General features: G+C 37.6%; 1 protein-coding gene across 3 annotated transcripts in view; it reads right to left on the bottom strand.

Moving 5' to 3' along the window:
* The window catches only part of CHIC2 (cysteine rich hydrophobic domain 2), an 82,091-nt gene that overhangs the window by 13,136 nt on the left and 49,675 nt on the right, over positions 1-19,280 (bottom strand). The window lies entirely within an intron of this gene.

Raw genomic sequence — 19,280 nt, forward strand, 5'->3', positions numbered from 1 at the left:
ATAGGTTAGTTCAGGATCTGTGCCTTAGCAACCAAATTGTCTTGCCTAGCCACCCTGTGGTGCCAAACCCATATACTCTATCCTCAATACCTCCCTCCACAACCCATTATTCTGTCCTAGCAAACCTAGCTGACCCCATAGATCCTAATTCCTTTCGCCACTCCTCTTTCCATTCCTTAAAAACAGCCCTAGAAGCTGCCACCACGCTAGCTCTCCCTAACTCATCCCAACCCTTTTCATTACACACAGCCAAAGTACTGGGCTCTGCGGTCAAAATTCTTACACAAGAGCCGGAACCGTGCCCTGTAGCCTTTCTGTCCAAACAACTTGACCTTACTATTTTAGGCTGGCCATCATGTCTCCGTGCAGAGGCTGCCGCCGCTCTAATACTTTTAGAGGCCCTAAAAATCACAAACTATGCTCAACTCACTCTCTACAGTTCTCATAACTTCCAAAATCTATTTTCTTCCTCCCACCTGATGCATATACTTTCTGCTCCCCGGCTCCTTCAGCTATACTCACTCTTTGGGTCTCCCACAATTACCACTGTTTCTGGCCTGGACTTCAATCTGGCCTCCCACATTATTCTGGATACCACACCTGACCCCCATGACTGTATCTCTCTGATCCACTTGACATTCACTCCATTTCCCCATATTTCCTTCTTTCCTCTTCCCCATCCTGATCACACTCAGTTTATTGATGGCAGTTCCACCAGGCCTAATCGCCACTCACCAACAAAGGCAGGCTATGCTATAGTATCTTCCACATCTATCATTGAGGCTACCGCTCTGCCCCTCTCCACTACCTCTCAGCAAGGCGAACTCATGCCTTAACCTGAGCCCTCACTCTTGCAAAAGGACTACGCATCAATATCTATACTGACTCGAAATATGCCTTCCATATCCTGCACCACCGTGCTGTTATATGGGCTGAAAGAGGTTTCCTCACCGTGCAAGGGTCCTCCATCATTAATTCCTCTTTAATAAAAACTCTTCTCAAGGCCGCTTTACTTCCAAAGGAAGCTGGAGTCATTCACTGCAAGCAAGGGCCATCAAAAGGTGTCAGATCTCATCGTTCAGGGCAACGCTTATGCTGATAAGGTAGCTAAACAAGCAGCTAGCGTTCCAACTTCTGCCCCTCATGGCCAGTTTTTCTCCTTCTCGTCAGTCACTCCCACCTACTCTGCCACTAAAACTTCCACCTATCAATGTCTTCCTACACAAGGCAAATGGTTCTTGGACCAAGGAAAATATCTCCTTCCAGCCTCACAGGCCCATTCTATTCTGTCGTCATTTCATAACCTCTTCCATGTAGGTTACAAGCCGCTAGCCCATCTCTTAAAACCTCTCATTTCCTTTCCATCGTGAAAATCTATCCCCAATCCACCACTCTTGCCTCCCTCTTGGAGTGGATAGATGATCTTTGCTGACAGAACACACTCCAATACTTTCACCCTGATGAAGTCTTATTCTTTACTTTTATACTCATTCTTATTCTTGTTCCCGTTCTTATGCCACCCACTACCTCTCCCCAGCTATCTCTATCACACTATCAATCGCACTCACTCTCTCCTAGCCATTTCTAATCCTTCTTTAACAAACAATTGCTGGCTTTGCATTTCTTTTTTCTCCAAAATCACCGAGGCCCTGACTTACTCACTGCTAAAAAAAGGGGACTCCGTATATTTTTAAATAAAGAGTGTTGTTTTTCTGTAAATCAATCTGGCCTGGTATATGACAACATAATAAAACTCAAGGATAGAGCCCAAAAATTCGCCAACCAAGCAAGTAATTATGCTGAACCCCCTTAGGCACTCTCTAATTGGATGTCCTGGGTCCTCCCAACTCTCAGTCCTTTAATACCTGTTTTTCTCCTTCTTTTATTCAGACCTTCTAACTTCTGTTTAGTTTCTCAATTCATACAAAACTGTATCCAGGCCATCACCAATCATTCTATATGACAAATGTTTCTTCTAACAACCCCACAATATCACCCCTTACCACAAAATCTTCCTTCAACTTAACCTCTCCCACTCTAGGTTCCCACGCCGCCCCTAATCCCGTTCAAAGCAGCCCTGAGAAACATCGTCCATTATGTCTCCATACCACCCGCCCCCCCAAAATTTTTGCTGCCCCAACACTTCAACACTATTTTATGTTATTTTTCTTATTAATATAAGAAGACAGGAATGTCAGGCCTCTGAGCCCAAGCTAAGACATCATATCCCCTGTGACCTGCACATATACATCCAGATGGCCTGAAGCAACTGAAGATCCACAAAAGAAGTGAAAATAGCCTTAACTGATGACATTCCACCACTGTGATGTTTCTGCCCCACCTTAACTGATCAATGTACTTTGTAATCTCCCCCACCCTTAAGAAGGTTCTTTGTAATTCTCCCCACCCTTGAGAATGTACTTTGTGAGATCCACCCCCGCCCACAAAACATTGCTCCTAACTCCACTGCCTATCCCAAAATCTGTAAGAACTAATGATAATCTCACCACCCTTTGCTGACTCTCTTTTCAGACTCAGCCCGCCTGCACCCAGGTGAAATAAACAGCCTTGTCGCTCACACAAAGCCTGTTTGGTGGTCTCTTCGCACGGATGCATGAGACACTTAGGACCAACAGGTAGAAAAGGGGTAAAGGCCGGGCGCAATAGCTCACGCCTGTGATCCCAGCACTTTGGGATACCGAGAAGGGCGGATCACTTGAGCCTAGAAGTTCGAGACCAGCCTGAGCAACATGGTGAAAACCCATGTCTACAAAAATTACAAAAATCAGCCAGGTGTGATGGTGCTGCACACATGTGGTCCCAGCTACTTGGGAAGCTGAGGTGGGAGGATCACTCGAGCCTGGGAGGTCAAGGCTGCAGTGAACGTGTCACTGCACTCCACCCTGGGCAACAGAGTAAGACCCTGTCTCAAAAAAAAAAAAAAAATAGGAATTGTTTTAAAAAACAAGAAGAAAGGGGTAAAAGAAAATCACCTGCTGATGGATGATAACACAACTGGAGAAACAAGAAGAGATAAGGAACCAGCATTTGTGGATCCTCACTTTGGGTCTGATCCCATGTTGTGTCTTGCTTTTATTACCTTACTTAATCTGCACAACAAGCCTATATGGCGGCTTGGACTACTTTCTTTTTACATATGAAAACTAAAGCTTACAGAGGTGAAGAAATGTAAATCTATACTAGGAAATGATGGAGCTCGGATCTGAAACCAGGATTAAATGGCCTTCAATTTCCTGTTCTTTTCATCATGCTATAGAACTATTATAATACTATCACAAAAAAACAATTTTTTTGTTTTTTTTTGTTTGGCTCACACCTGTAATCACAACACTGGGAGGTGGAGGTGGATGGATCACTTGAGGTCAGGAATTTGAGACCAGCCTGGCCAACATGGTGAAACCCCAACTCTACTAAAAATACAAAAATTAGCCAGGCATGGTGGTGTGCACCTGTAGCCCCAGCTACTTGGGAGACTGAGGTAGGAAAACTGCTTGAACCCGGGAGGTGGAGGTTGCAGTGAGCCAAGAGTGTGCCACTGCACTCCAGCCTGGGTGACAGAATGAGACTCTGTCTCAAAAAAAAAGAATTTTTGTCAAGAACTTTTCTTTTTTACAGATATGTTATGGATATTTTACAGATATTATTCTGAGATGAATAAAGGAATGGCCCTAGTATCCATCTACTAAACAAAGCTGGAAAACAGAGATAATAAATCTTTATACACCTCCTCCTCTGCCCTTCACCTTTTTTATTTCCTAGTATGCCAAACTCTGACAGTTTTTGTCTTTTAAGTTTCATTTTAATCTGTTTACTTCTCTTTCTTGTCTACTTTTATGCCTTTCTCTTCTTGACTAATGCAGTCACTTCACTAAATCCACCCTTCTTCCTTTCACTTTAAAATCTTAATGGTTTCATTTCAATTATATTTTACATACATTTGTTGTTAATTTCAAGGCCATTCATGATTTTATAATGAAAAATTTTTGTAAATCGAACTTTTTTACAGATATTATCCTGAGACAAATAACATATGTATGACATGCAAGTTTTCTTAGCCACTAACAAGGCTATCGGCCTTGAATAATCAACTTACTCTAAAACTATGATTAATGTGTTCAAGAAAAGAAAGTAGAAAGCTGGATGAAAAAACGAAGAATTTCAAAAGAAAACTGGAATCTATTTTAAAAAACAGCAAATGGACACCCTAGAATTGAAAAATACAGTATCTCATATTAAAAACTCAGGTCACAGAAGATAGGTGCAAATCCTTCTATAAACCACCACACCAATACTATGTTCTAAATATTTACAGAGAAATGAATGTCAGCCAGCTGTTGACAAAACACATTTTCTAAGCATTCTAGCATATCTTTACAGTGCTACCTCTGCATTTTTAAGGCTCAAAGTTTACATTTTTATGAGTATCCTCTTTTATGATGAAAACTTAGTAATGCGGTTTAATTTTAATTAAAAACAAATTGTCACTAGTGTTCATAATAATGGCAGTAATTTACATAAGAATCTGTTTAAGTTTCAAGGCCAAAGCATTCTTTAAAATGGAACTGCAGTAAATGTATTCATCTAGTTATGAGAAATCTTTTATGCAGGACCCCTTTTGTAAAGGGACTGAAATAAGATTTCAAAAAGGTCAAACCTATTTCATTATTCTGTATCTTATAATGGGGAAGATAGTGAAGAAGGGGCAAGAAACCACAAATTAAATGCCTAGGGCTAGATAAAGAAAACCCAGTTCTTTCATTCAGAGTTCCTGTCCCATCTTTACTGCATGGGACATGCACTCATTACATGTCATTCTCAATCTCTCTAAAAGTAAATACACAAGTTTCAAGAAAGGATCTAATACTAGAAGAAAAATAACTTTACCAGAAGTCATGTAAACTTATTTGCTAGGGAGTAGGAACCTAATAAATAACTTTTCAAAGACAGGATGTTGATTTTCATTTGTTTTTATAAAAGCAAAACAGAAGCAAAGGCAATATATCAACTCTTGGTTGTCCAACTATAACTTTGTATAAAATCTGCTTAAAATGTATATTTTTCTCCTATACCCACTTTACCTGCTTTACAGTTTCTTTCCTTTACTGTTTGTGTCTTCAAGAAATACAAACTTATTTAAATATTAAGAAAAAATACTTACAAAGAAAAATCTGCTAAACAACTAAAGTACTGCAAAAGTTAATATAATAATGCTTGGATATTGTTACCATTTATCAATCAACTGGACAAATTAGGTAAATTATAACCCATAGGCCTGAATTTCCTAACTCATGAAATCTTTTAAATTCCTTCCAAAGCTCTAAAACCTCTCTCTCTGCTGGTAGGTATAAAGTCAAATTTTAATAATAAAAAATAGCTTGATTTTTGTAGCTCTTTAAAATAGCAGGAAAAGCATGAAATTTTGAGCTGTAAGATTGGAATTCTAGTTTGGCTTAACTTTATAAACTGGGAGATCTCAAATAGGTTACTTGACTTCTGAGCCTCAGTTTTCTCATCCTTAAAATAATCTGAATATCTGATTTGTAATTTTGTAAGAATACAGTACATGTAAATTGATTAACTCCATCACTGGTAAAGAGTGAGTAAGGACTCAACTTTCTGATGTTACCATGATATTTTCCACATAGGGTGTTATGAAGATTAAATTAAAAGAGAATGTATGTAATGTGCCTTGCTAATAGCCGGTATACAATAATTATCTTTCTCTTCATTTGTTCCTTGTAGTCTATTATTTCATTGCATATCAACACATATTTTCCATTTTATAGCAAAATCTTTCAAGTTAAACATCAGGAATTTAGCCATTTGGAATAACTGGTATTATAAACTAAGTGTTTCTATCTTAAATTACATTTAAGTAGGTGCAAAAGTCAAACATCGACTGGGCGCAGCGGCTCACGCCTGTAATCCCAGCACTTTGGGGGGCCGAGGTGGGCAGATCATGAGGTCAGAAGATTAAGACCATCCTGGCCAACATGGTGAAACCCCGTCTCTACTAAAATACAAAAAATTAGCCAGGCGTGGTGGTGTGCACCTATAGCCCCAGCTACTCTGGAGGCTGAGGCAGGACAATCACTCGAACTGGGGAGGTGGAGATTGCAGTGAGCCAACATCGCGCCACCGCACTCCAGCCTGCTGACAGAGCGAGACTCCATCTCAAAGAAAAAAAAAAAAAAACAAAAGTCAAATATCAAATATGATGTGAAAGGTTTTATTAAGTGTAAAAGAAAGATGTTTCTGATTTAAATACAAACCATAACTCAAGTTTGTTTCTCTAAATTTACTGGACAGAAATTTCTCTATGTTCTATTTTATATTGCTAAGTCTATCACTGTACATTAGAACAGTATAAACATCCTCTGCACAAGAAAGATCAGGTTCCTGAAAAACCTCTGGAATAAAATCATATGAAAGACAAGAAATATAGGGTAATGAAGATTAAGACCATTATTGACCACATGAATATTTGTTATATTTACCAAAATAAGGCAAATTGAATAGCATTCTAAAAAAATAGCATTGATTTTCCACATCTTCAATCAATAACAACAGCAGTTATAAGACTACATTTCATTCATCATTCCTTGTTCACTAGAAATTACTTTGGATTCTCACTTCACTAGAATTTCAATATAATTTCAAATTTGTTCTGCCTTGTTGCAATATCTGTATTATGTTGTTAGAGGTATTTTTCTTTATCTGATTCTTCATCTAAATGTTTCTTTCTCATTTTATGACTCAGAGTTACTGACTATAAATGGTCAATCCCAAACACAGAGTAAATCAGTTCTGAAAGTTTTGGATAATTTTTAATACATCGGTATAACTGAATAAGGATATTTTATATTCCTCCCATATACCAATATTCTTAGCTTTCTGCTTATGATTCCCCCAGGTTCACTTTCCTTTGAATTTCTTTAAGTCTTACAAAGTTGCATTCTAACTTAAAAACAAAACTTTACTATTCACTTCTCCCATTTAGATTCTCAACACTACTATACCCCTAACCAGAGTAAGTCACAATTATTGGATAACTAAACTTGAACTTGAGAGCAAAGATATTCAGAAGAAACATAAGTAAACTAGAATCTCAACTAAAAAAAAATACAGTGAACTGGATTACCATTTATTTGTATGCATACAAAATACTTTACATGAGAGAAATACAGGCATCTTAGCAAAGGTTTCAAAAACTAAATAGCAATTATCTTTAAAAAAATTCAGAAAAGAAAAAACCTAAGAAACCTATATTAAAATATTTATTACAATGATGGCCAGGTGCGGTGGCTCATGCCTGTAATCCCAGCACTTTGGGAGGCCGAGGCTGGAGGATTGCTTGAACCCAGGAGTTAAAGACCAGCTGGGGTAACCCAGAGAGACCTCATTTCTACAAAAATGTTTTGTTTTAAATTGGCCAGGCATGGTGGTGTGTGCCTACAGTCCCGCCTACTTGGGAGGGTGAGGTGGGAGAATCACTTGAGCCCAGGAGGTCCAGGCTGCAGTGAGCCATGATCATGCCACTGCACTCCACTCTGGGCAAGAGAGTCCCTATCTCAAAAGAAAAAAAAAAAAAAATATATATATATATGTATACACACACACACACACACATATACAATATATAAATGTATAAATCTATATTTATAAAATATATAAATATATATACACACATATATATATGTTTATATTTACTAAAATGCTAATTTTTTTTTTTTTTTTTTGAGATGAGGTTTTGCTCTTGTTGCCCAGGCTGGAGTGCAATGGCACGATCTCGGCTCACTGTAACCTCTGCCTACCAGGTTCAAGTGATTCTCCTGCCTCAGCCTCCCAAAGTGCTGGGATTACAGGAATGAGCCACCGCACCTGGCCTAAAATGCTAATTCTTAGGCTTTAAAATAAAAATTAACATTGAGAATTTTTTTTTTTTTTTGAGACGGAGTCTCACTGTCGTCTAGGCTGGAGTGCAGTGGCGCAATCTTGGCTCACTGCAACCTTTGCCTCCGCCTCCCAGGTTAAAGCAATTCTCCTGCCTCAGCCTCTTGTGTAGCTGGGATTACAGGTGCATGCCACCACTCCTGGATTCTTTTTAAAGCATGGAAATAGAAATAGTTTATAGACCTACAAAGCTCAATTTTCAGACGATTACACATTTTTGGAACTGGAAAATATGTGAAAAATCAGCTGGCCTGTCCTTTGCTCAGATTAAAAGGAAAGGAAAAAAAAAAAACCTAACGCTGAGAGAGGTTTTAAGCAACTCTCTCAAGGTCACCCAGCTTCAAACATTGGTTTACTATCCTTTATACTGTATCACACTGCTCCTACAGCAGTAGGAGCTCCTATTACTTATTCTAAAAGGCAAGATGCTTCTATTTATCAGGGAATCTTCTTCTTATTAGTAAGCACCATATCTTATGCAACATTATGATCTTACTAATGCCAGGATTTTAAAGGCCAGATGAATACATTTATTCAACAAATATTTATTGAACACCAAGTAGATGCTAGGCACTGTGACAGCACTGAGGATACAGTAGTTAAGAAGACAAACACTGAGAATAATAATACTAAAATGATAATAACAGTAACTACATTGAACTAAGCACCTACTATGGGCAAAATACTATATTAAGTAGCCTAGATGTACTTGCTTTTTTTTTTTTTTTTTTTTTTTGTGAGACAGAGTCTCACTATGTAGCCTTAGGCTGGAGTACAGTGGTGCCATCTCGGCTCACTGCAACCTCCACCTCCTGGGTTCAAGCGATTCTGCTGTCTCAGCCTTCTGAGTAGCTGGGATTACAGGCACGTGTCACCACGCCCAGCTAATTTTTGTATTTTTAGTAGAGACGGGGTTTCACCATGTTGGCCAGGCTGGTCTTGAACGCCTGGTCTCAAGCAATCCACTTGCCTCGGCCTCTCAAAGTGCTGGGATTACAGGAGTGAGCCACAGTGCCCAGCCCACTTGCTCTAATTCTTAAAACAACACTACAAAGAAGGGTTTAGAGTGAGTGGTTTGATAAGTGTCACAGTCCAATCCAGCTAGTTCTAGCACCAAAATGCAAGTTCTAGCCACCACATGTTACAGGCCACTTCCCTATTCCTAAATGAATGATTTCCTGATACAATTTTAAATATAAATAAAAGCACAAAGGAAATGAAAATATGCAATATTTTTAATAAATCCATATAGGGACCACTTTTAGAAAGTGGCATAATTCTGGTTAGCATATCTAAAAGAGTAAAGCATTTTTATAAAGGAGATAAGACAACTAACAAGGTTAAGAAGTTGGTGTATCCTCTCCCTCCCCCTCCCCCTCCCCCTCCCTCTCCCTCTACGGTCTCCCTCTGATGCCGAGCCGAAGCTGGACTGTACTGCTGCCATCTCGGCTCACTGCAACCTCCCTGCCTGATTCTCCTGCCTCAGCCTGCCGAGTGCCTGCGATTGCAGGTGCGCGCCGCCACGCCTGACTGGTTTTCGTATTTTTTTGGTGGAGACGGGGTTTCGCTGTGTTGGCCGGGCCGGTCTCCAGCTCCTAACCGCGAGTGATCCGCCAGCCTCGGCCTCCCGAGGTGCCGGGATTGCAGACGGAGTCTTGTTCAAAGTAAATTTCAGAGAAAAATACAGGTCAATTTTATAATGATAAAGAGGTCAATCACAAAAATCCTGAAAATTTATATACCTAATTACAGAGTGCCAAAATACATACAGCATAAGCTGCATGAATAAATACACAAACCCAAAATTATAGTCAATCCATAGAAATGCATTTAAGGAACTGAGAAACTGCCAAAAGTGGAAGTACTATTATTTTATGATCTCACACTACTGTAGGATAGATTCTGCTCTGCTACATACTTGTCAACATTTAGTATAGTCTTTTAAAGAGCTGGGGTATGTGTCCCCTCTAAATCTCATGTTGAAATGTAATCCCCAGTGTTGGAGGTGGGGCCTCGTGGAAGGTGATTGGATCATGGGGGCAGATAACTTCACAGGTTGGTGCTGAGTTCTCTCAAGATCCGGTTTTTTAAAAGTGTGTGGCACCTCTCCCAACCCCCTTGCTCCTGCTCTGCCATATGAGATGCCTGCTCCTTTTCATCGTCCACCATGATTATAAGCTGAGTCCTCCCCAGAAGCTGAGCAGATGCCAGTGCCATGCTTCTTGTACAGCCTGTAGAACCATGAGCCAATTAAACCTCTTCATTATAAATTATCCAGTCTCAGGTATTTCCTTATAGCAATGCAAGAACAGACTAACATAGTCTTTTTAATTTCAGTCCTTCTAATAAGTATGTAATGTTATCATTATGGTTTTAATCTGCATTTTTCCTAATGGTTAGTGATGTTGAGCATCTGAAAAAATGCTAATTTTTCATTTACATATCTTTTTTGGTGAGGTGTCTGTTCTAAATTTTTGCTCAATGTTTCTTGAATTGTTTTCTTATTGTTGAGTTTTGAGAATTCTTTATATATTCTGGACAAAAGTATCTGCTTTGCAAAGATTTCTCCCAGTCAGTAGTTTGTCTTTAAATCCTCCAATAGTTTTCAAAAACGGAAATTTTTAACTTTTATGGAGTCCAATTTGTCTGGTGTTCTTTTAGGGATTGTGCTGCTAATGTTATACCTAGTAATTCTTCCTAAGCCCAGGTCACAAGGATTTTTCTCCTATGTTTTCTTCTAGAGTTTTATAGGTTTAGGTTTTACATTTTGAGTTAAACTTTCTATTAATATACGGTTTAATGTACAGATTGAAGGATTTTAAAAATATATATAGGCATTTAATTTTACCAATTACATCTCTTTAAAAGACTGTTCTTTCTTTACTGAATTGCCTTTCCACCTTTGGTGGAAATCAGTTCATAAAGGGGTCTATTTTTTGGCTCTGTCTCTTCTGTTTATCTGTTTGTCTATCTTGATGCGAGTACCACACTACTTTGAGTATTGTAGCTTTATAATTATGTCTTGAAATTGGGTAGCGTTGGTTCTCCAACTTTGTATTCCCTTTTCAGAGTTGTTTTGCTTTTGTAGGTTGTCTGTATTCCATATGAATTTTAGAATCAGTCTGTCAATTTCTAAAAAAAAAAAGTCCTGCTGGGAATTTAGTTTGGATTGCACTAAATCTATGGATCAGTTTGGAGAAATTGGCCACTTAAAAGTATTTCCTCGCCAGACGCGGTGGCTCATGCCTGTAATCCCAACACTTTGGGAGGCTGAGGTGGACAGATCACCTCAGGTCGGGGGTTCGAGACCAGCCTGACCAATATCAAGAAACCCTATCTCTACTAAAAATGCAAAATTAGCCAGGCATGGTGGTGCATACCTGTAATTCCAGCTACTCGGGAGGCTAAGGCAGGAGAATCGCTTGAACCTGGGAGGCAGAAGTTGTGGTGAGCTGAGATCACACCAATCCAGTTCAGCCTGGGCAACAAGAGCAAAACTCTGTCTCAAAAAAAAAAAAGTATTTCCTCTTCTGACACAAGAACCAATATTTTCCCCCACTTACTTAAGTCTTTTAAGTTTTTTTCTGAGTGGTATTTTGTAGATTTTAGTGTGTCTTATATATGTTTTTTTCAGCTTTCTCTGTAAGTACCTAGCATTTTTATGCTACTTAAAAATTGTTTTTCATTTTAATTTTTTATTTTTTGTTGATAGGGTATAGCTTTGCTAAACTCACCTGTTAGTTTCAAGAGTTTCTTTAAAGATTCTATTGAATTTTCTTCATAGACAAACATGTCATCTGCCCATCAAGACAGTATTATTACTATACTTGTTGCTTTTTCTTGCCTTACTGCCCTGGCTAGAATCTCCAGAATAACATTGATTAGTAGTAGTGAGAACATACTCTTGGCTTGTTCTTGATCTTAGAAGAAATGCATTCAGACCTTCATTATTAAGTGTCATGTTAATTGTAGGGTTTTTGTAGATGTCCTTTATCAGCTTGAGGAAGTTTTATTCTATTAGGCTGTGAGAGTGTTAATCAAGTATACATGCTGGATTTTGTCAAATGCTTTTTCTGCCACTTTAGAGATTGTTGTGTGGTTTTTCTTTTTAGTTTAGAAATATGTTGAGTTACATTCATTGCATTTTTGGATGTTAAACCAACCTTACTTACCTTCCTGGGAAGGACAATGTACTTGGCCATGTGTGTCTTTCTTTTCATGTTTTTGTTGGACTTGATAGGCTAAACGTCTGTTTAGAAGTTTTATATCTATGTTCATGAGGAACATTTTTCTGTAGACTTTTCTTTTAGAATATCTCTGTCTGGTTTTGGCCTCAGGGTAACGATGGCCTCATAAAGTGAGCTGGGAAGGGTTCTTTTCTCTTGATTTTCTAGAAGAGTTTGTGTAGAATAGGCATTACTTCTTCCTTAAATTTTGTAAGAATACACCAGTAAAGGCATCTGGGCCTGGAATTTTCTTTGTTGGAAGTTTTTAAATTACAAATTCAATTTACTTAATTGATATGGGACTTTTCAAGTCATCTATTTTATCTTGGTTAAGCTTTACAGTTTTTGTTTTTCAAGGAATTTGTCCACTTTAAGGTGTTGAATTACAGGCATACAGTTTATAGTATTCATTAATCATTCTTTTACTATCTTTAAAACCTCTTAGTCTCATCACCTGTTTCATTCCTGAAACTTAATTTATCTCTTTCTTTCTCTTTTCCCCACTCTGGCTAGAGATTTATTAATTTTATTGATCTTCTCAAAGGTTTGATTATTTCTATTGATTTTATGCTTTATATTTCATAGGTTTCAGTCTGACCATTATTTTTTTCCCCCTCCTTACTTTGGATTTAATTTGCTCTTGTTTTTCTAATTTCTTAAGATGAAAACAGAGGTCATGGATTTGAGGCTTTCTAGTGTAGACTTTCAGTGGTATAAATTTCCTTCCTTGAACACTGCTTTAGTAGTATGACACAAATTTTGACATTTTGTGTTTTAATCTTCATTTAATTCATTCTGCTTTTAAATTTCCCTTTTGATTTCTTTGACCAATGAGTTATTTAGAAGCATTTTATTTAGCTTTCAAATATTTGGGAATTTTCTAGCGATTTTTCATTTACTGATTTTTAATTTAATTTTATTGTGGTCAGATAACCCACTTTGTATGTTTTGAATCCCTTTAAATTTATTAAGACTTGTTTAATTACTTTGAATAAGAACTATCTCAGTGATCTGTATGTACTTGAAAAGAATGTGTATTTGCCTATTGTTGGTTAGAGTGTTTTATAAATGTCAATTAGGTTAAGTTGGCTGACATCTGTAGGGATTTTCTGTCTACTAGTTCTATCAGTTATCAAGACAGTGGTACTAAAATCTCGTTAGGCTGTTCTTGCATTGCTATAAAGAAATTCCTGAGACTAGATAATTTATAATGAAGAGGTTTTATTGGACAAGCTGTACAAGAAGCATGGCACTGGCATCTGCTCAGCTTCTGGGGAGTACTCAGGGAGCTTATAATAATGGTGGAAGATGAAAGGCAGCAGGCATCTCATATGGCAGAGCAGGAGCAACGGGGTTGGGGGAGGTGCCACACACTTTTAAAAAACCGGATCTTGAGAGAACTCAGCACCAACCTGTGAAGTTATCTGCCCCCATGATCCAATCACCTTCCACGAGGCCCTACCTCCAACACTGGGGATTACATTTCAACATGAGATTTAGAGGGGACACATACCCCAACTCTTTAAAAGACTATACTAAATGTTGACAAGTATGTAGCAGAACAGAATCTATCCTACAGTACCATGAGATCATAAAATAATAGTACCTCCACTTTTGGCAGTTTCTCAGTTCCTTAAATGCATTTCCATGGATTGTCCCACAACCACAAAAAAAAAGAAAGGAAAGGAAGCTAAACATACACTGACATATGACCAAGGCATTCCACTCAGGAATTTTTACTCAAAAAAAAAAAAAGTGTATGTCCCCAAAAAGACCTGAACAAGAATATTCACAGCAGCTTTATTTATACAGACCAAAATGTCCATCAGCAGGTAAATAGATAAACAAATGTGGCATATCCATATAATAAACATTATTCAGCAATAAAAGGGAATGAACTACTGATGCAACAACATTGTTGAATCTCAAAATCATAGTAAGTAAAAGAAAAAGGGGCTGGCCAAGCACGGAGGCTCACACCTGTAATCCCAGCACTTTGGGAGGCTGAGGCGGGTGGACTGCTTGAGCTCAGGAGTTTGAGAGATGAAACCCTGTCTCTACCAAAAATACAAAAATTAGCCAGGAGTGGTGATGCGCACCTGTGGCCCAAGCTACTTGGGAGGCCGAGGTAGGAGGATGAGTGGAGCCTGGGAAGTCTGGGAAGGCTGTAGTGAGCCATGATCATGCCACTGAACTCCAGCCTCAGTGACAGAATGAGACCCTATCTCAAAAATAAATAAATAAAAAATAAAACAAGAAGACAAAAAAGAATGCACATTGTATGATTTCATTTAGATAAAACTCTAGAAAAAGCAAATTAATCTATAGTGCCAGAAAGCAGATCAGCACTTGCACAGGGAAGTTTCTGGAAATGATGAGTATGTTCACTATCTTGATGCACACAAGTGTATCAAAACTCATCAAATAATATACTTTAAGTATGTGTAGTTTATTGTATGTCACTGACACTTCAATAAAGCTAGTAAAATATAAATAAAAGTTTTGAACATGCCATTACCAAAATACACTGTATTCAAGGCTGTAAAATAAAACACATTTAAAAGAACTGATATCACACCAAGTATATGCTTTAACAGTAATAAAATTAAACTAGAAATCAGTAACAGAAGAGTTTCTGGTAAATCTCCAAATATTTGGAGGTTAAACAAACTTCTTGATAATCCATGACTCAGAGAGAAAATCACAAATACTTTGAACCAAAAGAAAACAAAAATACTATATAAAAATGTGTAGGATATAGTCAAAACAGTGCTTTAGAGGGAAAGAGCATTAAATGCTTATACAAGAAAAAAAGAAAAGACAAATCAATGACTTCTACCTTAAGAAACTAAAAAACAAGAGTAAATTATATCCAAAGCAAGGAGAAGAAATAATAAAAACAAAAAATCAATGGAAGTGAAAACAGAAAAACAACACAGAAAATCAAGAATAAAGCAAGGAGTTTGCTCTCATCACTCCTATTCAGCATTTTATTAGAACTCCTACACTGTGAAAAAGAGAAGGAAAAGAAAAAGTACACAGATTGGGAATAAAACTGTCATTATTTTCTGACAACATAGTTATCTCTGTAGAAAATCCCAAGGAATCTACAAAAAAGTTCCTGGAATTTAATAAGTGAATTTGGCAAGGTTGAAGGACATGACGTTAATATGCAAAAATCAACTGTATTTTATGTACTAGCAGTGAACAACTGGAAATCAAAATTTAAAAAACAATACCATTTACAATAGCGCCAAACCCAAAGAAATACTTATGTATAAAGCTAATAAAACATGAGCATAATCTATATGCTACGCAAAAAACTACAAAGCTCTAACAAAAAAAACGTCAAAGACCTAAATACATGGAGACTATGTCATGTTCTTGGTTTAGAGGACTTAATATTGTTAAGATGTCAATTCTCTCCAATTCATCTGTAAATTGAATGTAATTCCAATCAAATACCAGTGTTTCTTATAGATATTTGACAAGCTAATTCTAAAATTTATAAAGAAAGGTAAAGAAATTAGAACAGCCAAAACAATCTTGAAAAATAAGAAAAAAATTGAAAGGCTCAATATACCTGATTTCAAAACTTACTATAAAGCTACAGTAGGCTGGACACAGTGGCTCACATCTGTAATTCCAGCACTTTGGGAGGCCGAGATGAGAGAATCGCTTGAGCCCAGGAGTTCGAGACCAACCTGGGCAACACAGCAAGACCCTGTCTCCTTTTTAATTAAAAAAGAAAAAAAAGCTACAGTAAACTAGACATTATGATATTTAATCAAGATAGACATACAAATCAATAGAACAGAATAGAGTATGGAAAGAGACCTACACAGGTATTGTTGACTGATTTTTGACAATGTACAATGGCAATTCAAGGGAAAAAGGATAGTCTTCTCAACAAATGGTACTGGAAAACCTAGAAAGTGATATGCAAAAAAAAAAAATTTCACCCATACCTCACACTCATATAAAAACCTGAGTCAAAATGGGTCACACACCTAAAAGTAAAGAGATCACAGGAGAAAATTTTCATGACCTTGGTTTAGGCAAATTCTTAGATACAGCACAAAAGTACAATCTATTTTTTTTTAAAGCGATGAATTCATCAAAAGCAAAAGCTTTTGTTCCGCCGAAGACATTGTTGGAGAATGAAAAGACAGCTACAGACTGCAAATATATATTAGCACGTATCTGCCAGGGGACTTATTTTCAGAATTATATGAAGAACTCTCAAAACTCAACAAGAAATAACAATTTTTAAATAGGCAAAATATTTCAATGAACACTTTAACAAAGAGGTACAAATGGCAAATAAGCACATGAAAAGGTGCTCAATATCATTACTCATGAGGGTAATGCAAATTAAAACCACAATGAGATGCTACTATGTATCTTTTAGAATGACTATAATTTCTATAACTAACCATATCAAGTCCTGCAAGGATGCTAAGCAACTGGATCTCTCATGCATTGCTGGCTGGAATGCAAAATGGTTCACCCACTTTGGAAAACAGTTTGGAGATTTTTTATAAATTAAACATTCACTTACCATATAACCCGGCAATCCCCTTCCTAAAAATGAAAACTTGTGTTCACACAAAAACATGCATGTGAATGTTTATGGCAAGCTTTATTCAAAAACTGGAAAGTCAGTGTCTTCAACTGATAAATGGATAAACAAACTGTGATACATCCATACAATGGAATACTACTCAACAATAAAAAAGAATAAACTATTAATACATAAAAGAAAATAGATGAATCTCAAATGCACTAAGCTACATGAAAGAAGCCAGACTCAAAAAGTTATATACACTATTTTACTCCATTTATATAATATTCTAGAAAAGACAGTATTGTAGGGATAGACAACAGATCACTGGTTGCCAGGGTTTAAGAGTTGACGAGGGTTCAACTACAGAGGTAGTAAGTAAAAAACTTACTACAGCACAAGTAAGTTTTTTATGGAAAACTGTTATGTATCTTGATTCTGGTGGTGGTTACAAAACTCTATGCGTTTATCAAAAATCACAGAACTGTTTATAAAAATTTTACTGTATATTAAAAAACAATTTTCAAAAATAGGCAAAGGTAGTTAAGAAAAAAGGCAATTTGGAAGGTCTAAAAAATAATCAAAATAACAGAACATGCTGGGCGCAGTGGCTCACGCCTGTAATCCCAGCACTTTGGGAGGCCGAGGCAGGCAGATCACCAGAGGTCAGGAGCTCAAGATCAGCCTGGCCAAAATGGTGAAACCCCGTCTCTACCAAAAATATAAAAATTAGCCGAGCACGGTGGCTCACACCTGAATCTCAGCACTTTGGGAGGCCGAAGCGGGCAGATCACCTGAGGTCAGGAGTTCAAGACCAGCCTGGCAAACATGGTGAAACCCCGTCTCTACTAAAAATACAAAAATTAGCTGGGCATAGTGTCAGGAGCCTGTAATTCCAGCTACTCCGGAGGCTGAGGCAAGAGAATCACTTGAACCGGGGAGGTGTAGGTTGTGATGAGCTGAGAGACCACACCACTGCACTCCAGCCTGGGTGATAAAAGTGAAACTCTGTCTCAAAAAAAAAAAAAAAAAAAAAAAAATTAGCTGGGTGTGGCTGCAGGTGCCTGTAATCCCAGCTACTCAGGAGGCTGAGGCAGGAGAATTGCTTGAACCTGGGAGGAGGAGGTTGCTGTGAGTAGAGATCATGCCATTGCACTCCAGCCTGGATGACAAGAGTAAAACACCGTCTCAATCATAATAAGAATAATAATAATAGAACAGAATAAAAACAAGGTCTTGGGAATAATATCAGGTCATAAAAAGAGGGCACTAAGTTGGGGATAGATTTTTTTTTTTTTTTGAGACGGAACCTCCAACTCCCTGGTTCAAGCGATTCTTCTGCCTCAGCCTCCCGAGTAGCTGGGATTACAGGCACGTGCCACCATGCCAGCTAATTTTTATATTTTTAGTAGAGATGGGGTTTCACCATGTTGGCCAGGATGGTCTCGATCTCCTGACCTCGTGAGGGGATGGATTTTGAAGGCAAGACAGAACTGCAGTTTTCCAAATCAGTGAATAATGTGAAGAAAGTAAAAGCACTGAGCTGCATATCAAGTATGCCTTTGGTCCTGATTTGTCTTAGAGTCTGAGACCATTCTAACCACATAAGAGGATTTCACATCACAAGAAAGAAAACAGAAGTTCACAGGCTGGCAATTTTTTATACTCATGCCTCTCGATCGAGGGTTCTTAACATACAGTACCTAGACAGAATTCTGGGAATCTGTGAAAGTGAGTGAAATGAAAATACATCTTTTTAACCACTAACTGAAATGTATTACATTTCCTTAGGTTATGAATGTATGCAACTAACTGCAATAGACTGAACAGGACCTGCACCTTCATCACTTAAAGAAATCACAGATTCTTCCTATCATATCATTATTATCATGGATTTGTTGCTATCTCATTTTGTATGCATTAATAAACATATTTATAAACCACATTAAAGTTTTCTAGTATTTTGATAACTATATTTTATATAATTGGTTTCCTCTGTAATCCATGTATTTTTACCTTATGCATTTAGAATACATTAAATATTTTTAAATATATGTAAAGCATCTAAGAAAGCATTCATAGGCTTCCCTAAACCATCAAAAGGATTTATGGCAAATAAAACGTTAAAAATCCCTGCTCTAGAGGGGAACATCACACACTGGGACCTGTCAGGGGTTGGGGGCTAGGGGAGGGATAGCATTAGGAGAAATGCCTAATGTAGATGATGGGCTGATGTGTGCAGCAAACCACCATGGCACGTGTATACCTATGTAACAAACCTGCACATTCTGCACATGTATCCCAGAACTTAAAGTATAATTTAAAAAAAAAAAAAAGGAAAAAAAAATCCAAATTATTTTGCCTCCATCTTACAAAGCACCTCTTTCTCCAGGGCCGGTAATATCCTTCACACATGCATGAAGTGTCACTCTTACCATGGTTATGTAATAGTTTACACCCAAGGACAGATATGTATGGCTTTTTTAAAAAGCAAGTCATGTTTGTTTATGCTCCCT

The sequence above is a fragment of the Homo sapiens genome, chromosome 4, assembly GCF_000001405.40.
Source record: "Homo sapiens chromosome 4, GRCh38.p14 Primary Assembly".
NCBI lineage: Eukaryota > Metazoa > Chordata > Mammalia > Primates > Hominidae > Homo > Homo sapiens.